The sequence below is a fragment of the Homo sapiens genome, chromosome X, assembly GCF_000001405.40.
Source record: "Homo sapiens chromosome X, GRCh38.p14 Primary Assembly".
Classification (NCBI taxonomy): Eukaryota; Metazoa; Chordata; class Mammalia; order Primates; family Hominidae; genus Homo; species Homo sapiens.
Window position 1 is genome coordinate 147,653,430 of NC_000023.11, and position 11,194 is coordinate 147,664,623.

Sequence of the window (11,194 nt, forward strand, 5' to 3'; positions counted from 1 at the left end):
AGTTTTCTCACAAAATGTCAATGTAAACCTAGCAAGAAGCTATTGTGTAATATGTTTCTATGTATACTCACATGGAGTATTTTCAATTAATATGACTTACTCTTAATTTACTACCTCTTGTACCAAGTTGGCATACAATATATTTTTCCAAGATAAATTACCAGTGAGTGGAACCAATTGTCACATATGAGTCCCGGAGCTGAGGAAAAGTAGAATTTAACAAGGCCACTGTAGAAAAGATTGCTGCATAACTGTTCAAAATCATTTAAGTATAAAAAGACTTTATGCTTATGAAAAAAATTGTCGGAGGAGGAGCCAAGATGGCCGAATAGGAACAGCTCCGGTCTACAGCTCCCAGCGTGAGCGACGCAGAAGACGGGTGATTTCTGCATTTCCATCTGAGGTACCGGGTTCATCTCACTAGAGAGTGCCAGACAGTGGGCGCAGGCCAGTGTGTGTGCGCACCGTGCGCAAGCCGAAGCAGGGCGAGGCATTGCCTCACCTGGGAAGCGCAAGGGGTCAGGGAGTTCCCTTTCCGAGTCAAAGAAAGGGGTGACGGACGCACCTGGAAAATCGGGTCACTCCCACCCGAATATTGCGCTTTTCAGACCGGCTTAAGAAACGGCGCACCACGAGACTATATCCCACACCTGGCTCAGAGGGTCCTACGCCCACGGAATCTCGCTGATTGCTAGCACAGCAGTCTGAGATCAAACTGCAAGGCGGCAACGAGGCTGGGGGAGGGGCGCCCGCCATTGCCCAGGCTTGCTTAGGTAAACAAAGCAGCTGGGAAGCTCGAACTGGGTGGAGCCCACCACAGCTCAAGGAGGCCTGCCTGCCTCTGTAGGCTCCACCTCTGGGGGCAGGGCACAGACAAACAAAAAGACAGCAGTAACCTCTGCAGACTTAAGTGTCCCTGTCTGACAGCTTTGAAGAGAGCAGTGGTTCTCCCAGCACGCAGCTGGAGATCTGAGAACGGACAGACTGCCTCCTCAAGTGGGTCCCTGACCCCTGACCCCCGAGCAGCCTAACTGGGAAGCACCCCCCAGCAGGGGCACACTGACACCTCACACGGCAGTGTATTCCAACAGACCTGCAGCTGAGGGTCCTGTCTGTTAGAAGGAAAACTAACAACCAGAAAGGACATCTACACCGAAAACCCATCTGTACATCACCATCATCAAAGACCAAAAGTAGATAAAACCACAAAGATGGGGAAAAAACAGAACAGAAAAACTGGAAACTCTAAAACGCAGAGCGCCTCTCCTCCTCCAAAGGAACGCAGTTCCTCACCAGCAACAGAACAAAGCTGGATGGAGAATGATTTTGACGAGCTGAGAGAAGAAGGCTTCAGACGATCAAATTACTCTGAGCTACGGGAGGACATTCAAACCAAAGGCAAAGAAGTTGAAAACTTTGAAAAAAATTTAGAAGAATGTATAACTAGAATAACCAATACAGAGAAGTGCTTAAAGGAGCTGATGGAGCTGAAAACCAAGGCTCGAGAACTACGTGAAGAATGCAGAAGCCTCAGGAGCCGATGCGATCAACTGGAAGAAAGGGTATCAGCAATGGAAGATGAAATGAATGAAATGAAGCGAGAAGGGAAGTTTAGAGAAAAAAGAATAAAAAGAAATGAGCAAAGCCTCCAAGAAATATGGGACTATGTGAAAAGACCAAATCTACGTCTGATTGGTGTACCTGAAAGTGATGTGGAGAATGGAACCAAGTTGGAAAACACTCTGCAGGATATTATCCAGGAGAACTTCCCCAATCTAGCAAGGCAGGCCAACGTTCAGATTCAGGAAATACAGAGAACGCCACAAAGATACTCCTCGAGAAGAGCAACTCCAAGACACATAATTGTCAGATTCACCAAAGTTGAAATGAAGGAAAAAATGTTAAGGGCAGCCAGAGAGAAAGGTCGGGTTACCCTCAAAGGAAAGCCCATCAGACTAACAGCGGATCTCTCGGCAGAAACCCTATAAGCCAGAAGAGAGTGGGGGCCAATATTCAACATTCTTAAAGAAAAGAATTTTCAACCCAGAATTTCATATCCAGCCAAACTAAGCTTCATAAGTGAAGGAGAAATAAAATACTTTATAGACAAGCAAATGCTGAGAGATTTTGTCACCACCAGGCCTGCCCTAAAAGAGCTCCTGAAGGAAGCGCTAAACATGGAAAGGAACAACCGGTACCAGCCGCTGCAAAATCATGCCAAAATGTAAAGACCATCGAGACTAGGAAGAAACTGCATCAACTAATGAGCAAAATCACCAGCTAACATCATAATGACAGGATCAAATTCACACATAACAATATTAACTTTAAATATAAATGGACTAAATTCTGCAATTAAAAGACACAGACTGGCAAGTTGGATAAAGAGTCAAGACCCATCAGTGTGCTGTATTCAGGAAACCCATCTCACGTGCAGAGACACACATAGGCTCAAAATAAAAGGATGGAGGAAGATCTACCAAGCCAATGGAAAACAAAAAAAGGCAGGGGTTGCAATCCTAGTCTCTGATAAAACAGACTTTAAACCAACAAAGATCAAAAGAGACAAAGAAGGCCATTACATAATGGTAAAGGGATCAATTCAACAAGAGGAGCTAACTATCCTAAATATTTATGCACCCAATACAGGAGCACCCAGATTCATAAAGCAAGTCCTCAGTGACCTACAAAGAGACTTAGACTCCCACACATTAATAATGGGAGACTTTAACACCCCACTGTCAATATTAGACAGATCAACGAGACAGAAAGTCAACAAGGATACCCAGGAATTGAACTCAGCTCTGCACCAAGCAGACCTAATAGACATCTACAGAACTCTCCACCCCAAATCAACAGAATATACATTTTTTTCAGCACCACACCACACCTATTCCAAAATTGACCACATAGTTGGAAGTAAAGCTCTCCTCAGCAAATGTAAAAGAACAGAAATTATAACAAACTGTCTCTCAGACCACAGTGCAATCAAACTAGAACTCAGGATTAAGAATCTCACTCAAAGCCGCTCAACTACATGGAAACTGAACAACCTGCTCCTGAATGACTACTGGGTACATAACGAAATGAAGGCAGAAATAAAGATGTTCTTTGAAACCAACGAGAACAAAGACACCACATACCAGAATCTCTGGGACGCATTCAAAGCAGTGTGTAGAGGGAAATTTATAGCACTAAATGCCTACAAGAGAAAGCAGGAAAGATCCAAAATTGACACCCTAACATCACAATTAAAAGAACTAGAAAAGCAAGAGCAAACACATTCAAAAGCTAGCAGAAGGCAAGAAATAACTAAAATCAGAGCAGAAGTGAAGGAAATAGAAACACAAAAAACCCTTCAAAAAATCAATGAATCCAGGAGCTGGTTTTTTGAAAGGATCAACAAAATTGATAGACCGCTAGCAAGACTAATAAAGAAAAAAAGAGAGAAGAATCAAATAGACACAATAAAAAATGATAAAGGGGATATCACCACCGATCCCACAGAAATACAAACTACCATCAGAGAATACTACAAACACCTCTACGCAAATAAACTAGAAAATCTAGAAGAAATGGATACATTCCTCGACACATACACTCTCCCAAGACTAAACCAGGAAGAAGTTGAATCTCTGAATAGACCAATAACAGGCTCTGAAATTGTGGCAATAATCAATAGTTTACCAACCAAAAAGAGTCCAGGACCAGATGGATTCACAGCCGAATTCTACCAGAGGTACAAGGAGGAACTGGTACCATTCCTTCTGAAACTATTCCAATCAATAGAAAAAGAGGGAATCCTCCCTAACTCATTTTATGAGGCCAGCATCATTCTGATACCAAAGCCAGGCAGAGACACAACCAAAAAAGAGAATTTTAGACCAATATCCTTGATGAACATTGATGCAAAAATCCTCAATAAAATACTGGCAAACCGAATCCAGCAGCACATCAAAAAGCTTATCCACCATGATCAAGTGGGCTTCATCCCTGGGATGCAAGGCTGGTTCAATATACGCAAATCAATAAATGTAATCCAGCATATAAACAGAGCCAAAGACAAAAACCACATGATTATCTCAATAGATGCAGAAAAGGCCTTTGACAAAATTCAACAACCCTTCATGCTAAAAACTCTCAATAAATTAGGTATTGATGGGACGTATCTCAAAATAATAAGAGCTATCTATGACAAACCCACAGCCAATATCATACTGAATGGGCAAAAACTGGAAGCATTCCCTTTGAAAACTGGCACAAGACAGGGATGCCCTCTCTCACCGCTCCTATTCAACATAGTGTTGGAAGTTCTGGCCAGGGCAATCAGGCAGGAGAAGGAAATAAAGGGTATTCAATTAGGAAAAGAGGAAGTCAAATTGTCCCTGTTTGCAGACGACATGATTGTTTATCTAGAAAACCCCATCGTCTCAGCCCAAAATCCCCTTAAGCTGATAAGCAACTTCAGCAAAGTCTCAGGATACAAAATCAATGTACAAAAATCACAAGCATTCTTATACACCAACAACAGACAAACAGAGAGCCAAATCATGGGTGAACTCCCATTCACAATTGCTTCAAAGAGAATAAAATACCTAGGAATCCAACTTACAAGGGATGTGAAGGACCTCTTCAAGGAGAACTACAAACCACTGCTCAAGGAAATAAAAGAGGACACAAACAAATGGAAGAACATTCCATGCTCATGGGTAGGAAGAATCAATATCGTGAAAATGGCCATACTGCCCAAGGTAATTTACAGATTCAATGCCATCCCCATCAAGCTACCAATGACTTTCTTCACAGAATTGGAAAAAACTACTTTAAAGTTCATATGGAACCAAAAAAGAGCCCGCATTGCCAAGTCAATCCTAAGCCAAAAGAACAAAGCTGGAGGCATCACACTACCTGACTTCAAACTATACTACAAGGCTACAGTAACCAAAACAGCATGGTACTGGTACCAAAACAGAGATATAGATCAATGGAACAGAACAGAGCCCTCAGAAATAATGCCGCATATCTACAACTATCTGATCTTTGACAAACCTGAGAAAAACAAGCAATGGGGAAAGGATTCCCTATTTAATAAATGGTGCTGGGAAAACTGGCTAGCCATATGTAGAAAGCTGAAACTGGATCCCTTCCTTACACCTTATACAAAAATCAATTCAAGATGGATTAAAGATTTAAACGTTAAACCTAAAACCATAAAAACCCTAGAAGAAAACCTAGGCATTACCATTCAGGACATAGGCGTGGGCAAGGACTTCATGTCCAAAACACCAAAAGCAATGGCAACAAAAGACAAAATTGACAAATGGGATCTAATTAAACTAAAGAGCTTCTGCACAGCAAAAGAAACTACCATCAGAGTGAACAGGCAACCTACAAAATGGGAGAAAATTTTCGCATCCTACTCATCTGACAAAGGGCTAATATCCAGAATCTACAATGAACTCAAACAAATTTACAAGAAAAAAACAAACAACCCCATCAAAAAGTGGGCGAAGGACATGAACAGACACTTCTCAAAAGAAGACATTTATGCAGCCAAAAAACACATGAAGAAATGCTCATCATCACTGGCCATCAGAGAAATGCAAATCAAAACCACTATGAGATATCATCTCACACCAGTTAGAATGGCGATCATTAAAAAGTCAGGAAACAACAGGTGCTGGAGAGGATGCGGAGAAATAGGAACACTTTTACACTGTTGGTGGGACTGTAAACTAGTTCAACCATTGTGGAAGTCAGTGTGGCGATTCCTCAGGGATCTAGAACTAGAAATACCATTTGACCCAGCCATCCCATTACTGGGTATATACCCAAATGAGTATAAATCATGCTGCTATAAAGACACATGCACACGTATGTTTATTGCGGCACTATTCACAATAGCAAAGACTTGGAACCAACCCAAATGTCCAACAATGATAGACTGGATTAAGAAAATGTGGCACATATACACCATGGAATACTATGCAGCCATAAAAAATGATGAGTTCATATCCTTTGTAGGGACATGGATGAAATTGGAAACCATCATTCTCAGTAAACTATCGCAAGAACAAAAAACCAAACACCGCATATTCTCACTCATAGGTGGGAATTGAACAATGAGATCACATGGACACAGGAAGGGGAATATCACACTCTGGGGACTGTGGTGGGGTTGGGGGAGGGGGAAGGGATAGTATTGGGAGATATACCTAATGCTAGATGACACATTAGTGGGTGCAGCGCACCAGCATGGCACATGTATACATATGTAACTAACCTGCACAATGTGCACATGTACCCTAAAACTTAAGAGTATAATAAAAAAAATAAAATAAAATAAAATAAAAATAAATGAAAAAAAAAAAAAAAAGAAAAAAATCGTCAGCAGTAGATTGCTTGATTGCTTTAACAGAAGCCAAAGGATTTGGTAATCCCATCTTGTGGTGACAGAATTGTTCAGGAGCTCAGGCAGAGGTAGTGAGGGTGACCAGAGATGAAAGGGAAAAGCGATGGGGCAAAGAGTAGCTGAGGGGAAGAGACAGGATGGATTTTGTAAGCTGAATGCAGACCAGCAGCTGCAATTTTCTATCATTTGATCAGGCCCATTTGCTGAGCAGAGAAATACAGGGTGGGTGGTTATACCACTGCCACATTATCCTTTTCGAATTGAGTCTAAATTGATTCAGGTTTTGAGAAGGCCCAGGAAGCACTGATGACTGCTGTCGCAGGAAAAAAAACAGCCTTCAAATAAGCAAAGGGCATCGTGAAGTTAAGAGACATCAGTGGTTCCTCAGACGCAAAACTCTGAAGCTCAAGGAAGGACATGTGCAGGCAGAGGTACAGGCCAAAGGAATATTGGAAAACTTAGTAGAAAAGGTTTAACGGGAATATGTGCTATAACTTAGGGCATTTTTACAGAGTCCAGAGGTAGAAAAACATACAGTAAATATATATATATTTGAGTAATTTATTGTTGATTTAAAGCCTAATAGCATAATTTTAAAATTTATTCCTTTTGTGTATTGCTAACGTAGAGAAGTTAACTTTTCAGTTTGCTCAAAAATCCCCACCACGAACAATTATTTGACCTGAAACCAACAAACATTGACTCTTCGCTTTCCTATTTCATAGTCCTCTGTGTAAAGCTATACTAATTAAGATAGTAGGCTAATAGAAATTTAAAATTCAAGGGAAAATATTGAAAACCTGGAATGGGCCTGAATATATGCATAATCTTAACATGTTGTGAAGTAATTATCTAAAAGAAGAAGAGATGAATTATTCAATAAATGATATTGTGGAAATTAGCTATTTTGGAACAAATGAAACATTTTTATCCTTACCTTATAAGCCAAAATAAAAATCTAGATGGGTTAAAGAATTAAGATTGAAAAAAACCTAGAACTATAAACAGTAAATATTTAGCTGTCTTGAAATGGGAAAGGGCTTCCTGAGCATACGACCAATGAAAGCCAACACAAGAAAAATTACATCAATTCAATTACATAGAAACTTTGAAATTTGGCATTAAAAACTGGGAAAACTATCAGCAGAGAAGAATGTTTTCTAGAACTATACATAAAAGTATTAACATCCTAAAGACCGATAACTCATGTAAATTGAGATTCATTAACATTCTCCAAAATACAACATGTGAGGAAACATTCAGCTTTGTTAGTAATTGGAACTGCAATTTAAATCAAGTAGAAATGCCATTCTCCCACTTATGAAGTTGGCAATAATTTTTAAATGAAATAAAGTATTTATGGCTGTGCTGTCAAATAGGGCAATGACTAGCCACTTGAAGTGTAGCTAGTTCAAACTCAGATGTGTTGTAAAATATAAAATACACACCGGAATTCCAAAGCTCAGTAAAGTAAAATATCTCAGTAATTTTATATAGATTAAATGTTGAAAGAATAATATTTTACATATATTGGGTTAAAACCAATACTACATAAAATTCATCTATGTTTTACTTTTTTATTTATGGTGTCACTTTAAGTTAGAGATGTTGCTTACATTGTATTTCAAGTAGACAGTGCTGCTATATGGTAATTAGGGGGCAAAGAAATAGTTACACTCATATACTACTATTGGGTATACAAATCACAACAGCACCATTTCTGGGTGACATTTCAGTGTATTTATCCAAAGCACTTAATTAAGAGTCACTGTACCTTTTGACTCAATTACAACTCTAGGACTATCTTAAGAAAGTAACCAGAGACAGAACAATTAGACAAATAATTTGTATACAACATATGTGTTAATAATAATGAAAGGTTAGAAACAAGATAAGTGTTCAGTAATGGAAATAATTATAGTGTGCCCATTGATGACACGATGAAATACATATGATACAAAGTTATGTGAAAAAGAGGATACTGTGTATGATTATCATCCCAAATGTGTGAAGAATTTATACACACACACACACACACACACACACACACACACAGATAAAAGAATGCATGAAAATGTACCATCATGAGAGTTTTTTCTGGGTTATAAAATTATCAATTATCCATGTCATTTGTGTATATTTGTATTTGCAAAGTTTTGATAAGCATATGTTCATTTTAATTTAAAATTTAATTTTCTTTTTGAAAAAAATATTGCCTCCTAATTTGTTCAAACTGATACAAATCACAGCTAGGCCAGGTAATAAGGAAATCATTAGCAATGAAACTCTCGAGCAGGAGCCATATGTTTGTTTAGGGAATATCTTAGTTGTATTTACAAGACAGCTCAAAGAATAGTTTAGAAAAGAATACAATATAGGGTCAAGTTTCAATATGAAAGGAAAACTAGCTTAACCTTTTTTCTAGGCTGAGGCTTTCTTGCTGGCTACCTGTTGGGTCACAACTTAATGAACGAAAGAGACTAGACCTGGAGCAGATGACTGATGGGTGTAGTAGATATACAACCTTGAATAGTTTTCTGCCTCACTGCTCAACATGAAGTGTTTTAAATGCCAACATATTATTTAAAATTTTTTCTTTATATACATTTGGGGGATACAAATGCAATTTTGTTACATGGAAATATATCCATGCAATATAGTGGTGAAGTCTGGGCTTTGAGTGTAACCATCAGCCAAATACTGAACATTTTATCCTTTAAAAGTAATTTCTCATCCCTCGATCCCCTTCCACCCTCCCACCCTTCCAAGTCTCCATCTTCTATTATCCTACCATATATCCATGTGTATACATTATTTAGCTCACATGTATAAATAAGAACACCTGGTATTTGACTTTGAGTTATTTCACTTAAGATAATGGCCTCCAGTTCCATCCATGTTGCTGCAAAAAACATGACTTCATTCTGTTATATAACTATTATTCTATGGTGTATATGTATCACAGATTCTTTATCTAGTCCTCTGTTGCTGAAAAAGAATTTCATTCTGTTTTATGGCTGAGTATTATTTCACTGTGTGTATGTACCACGTTGGCTTTATCCAGTCATCTTTCCACGGACACTTAAATTGATTCTATGTCTTTGCTATCGTGAATAGTACTGCGATAAACATACAAGTGCAGGCATCTTTTTGATATAGTGAATTCTTTTCCTCTGGGTAGATACCCAATAGTGGGATTGCTGGATCAAATGGCAGTGCCATTTTTAGTTATTTGAGAAATCTCCATACTGTTTTCCATAAAGGCTGTACTAATTTACATTTCCACCAGCAGTATACAAGCATTCTCTTTTCTCTGAATTATTGCCAACATGTTTTACATGTTGTCTTTTTAATAATAAACACTGACTGGTGTAAGGTAATTATCTCATTGCTGTTTTAATTTGCACTTCCTTGACAATTAGTGCTTTTGAACATTTTCTTCATGTGCTTGTTGGCCATTTACATGTCTTTTGAAAAATGTCTGTTCATGTCCTTTGCCCACTTTTTAATGGAGTTGTTTGTCGTTGAGTTTGGGTTTCTTGTACATTCTGGGTATCAGTCCCCTGTCAGATTGAAAAATATTTTCTCCCGTTCTGCTGGTTGTCTGTTCAGTCTGTTATTTCTTTTGACATGCAGAAGCTTTTTAGTTTAAGTTAATCCCAACGTGTCTATTTTTGTTTTCATTGTGCTTGTTTTTGAAGTCTCAGTCATAAATTCTTTGCCTAGACCAATTCCAGAGGAGTTTTTCCCTAGGTTTTCTCCTAGGATTTTTTTTTTTTTATAGTTTCAGGTCTTACATTTATGTCTCTGATCCATCATCAGTTGATTTTTGTATACGTGAGATTTAAGGATTGATTCATTTTTCTGTGTTATAGCTATCCAGTTTTCTCAGCACCATTTATTGAAGAGGGTATTCTTTTCCCAATGTGTGTTTTTGTTGATTTTGTCAAAGATTAGTTGGCTGTAGATACGTAGCTTTGTTTCTGGATTCTGGATTCTATTCCATTGATCTATGTCTGTTTTTAATACCATGTTTAGAGCCAGTATTTTTAGAACCAGTACCATGATATTTTCATTACTGCAGCCCTGTAGTATAATTTGTGGTCAGGTGTTGTGATGTTTCCAGCTTTCTTCTTTTTGCTTAGGATTGTTTTGGCTATTCACGCTCTTTTTTGGTACTGTATGAATTTTAGAATTATTTTTTCTAACTCTGGAAAATGACATTGGTATTTTTGATTGCATTGAATCTACAGGTTGCTTTGTAAATGCCTACAAATTATTTAGCTATATAAATACCCAGCCTCATTTTCTACTCATCAATAAGTAGTTATCTTGTTTTTCATACTTTCTTCTGCTGAAGATATCAGGGACATCTCTTGGTATGTAAGTGATGCGAAAAGATTGGTTTACCAGAAGTGAGGGCAAGTGTCTAGCTTTTCCATAAATCGCCCAGTTCTGTTCAACCTTAGCCAAAAAGACTCATATCCAAAAGACATGGGTTAATTTTATGTAAGCAGGCATCAGAAAGAGACTCAGCATTTGTTACGCAAGCATTTGAGTGAATGAAGATTCACTCATCTTCATGATTAATTCATCCAAGAGACCAAAAAGGTATCGTAGAACTCATTAGCTGAATTTTTGCAGGGCAGCAAAAGTGAGAAACTACTTGGTTTTCCATGTAACATTTGAATCTTTTGGAGAAGAGATATTTTGGGTTGCATAAAATAATTGTTTAATTTATAACTGTTATAAGTCTTTATTGCAAATCTCACAAGCTACTAT

The 11,194-nt window shown here is 38.3% G+C and overlaps 1 annotated feature.

Moving 5' to 3' along the window:
- Nucleotides 584-1,146: an enhancer, noted in NCBI's record as "H3K27ac-H3K4me1 hESC enhancer chrX:146735531-146736093 (GRCh37/hg19 assembly coordinates)". NCBI's record gives its function as "activates a minimal SCP1, AML or CMV promoter by ChIP-STARR-seq in primed H9 embryonic stem cells {active_cell/tissue: H9 hESC(primed)}" and the evidence as "EXISTENCE:reporter gene assay evidence [ECO:0000049][PMID:30033119]".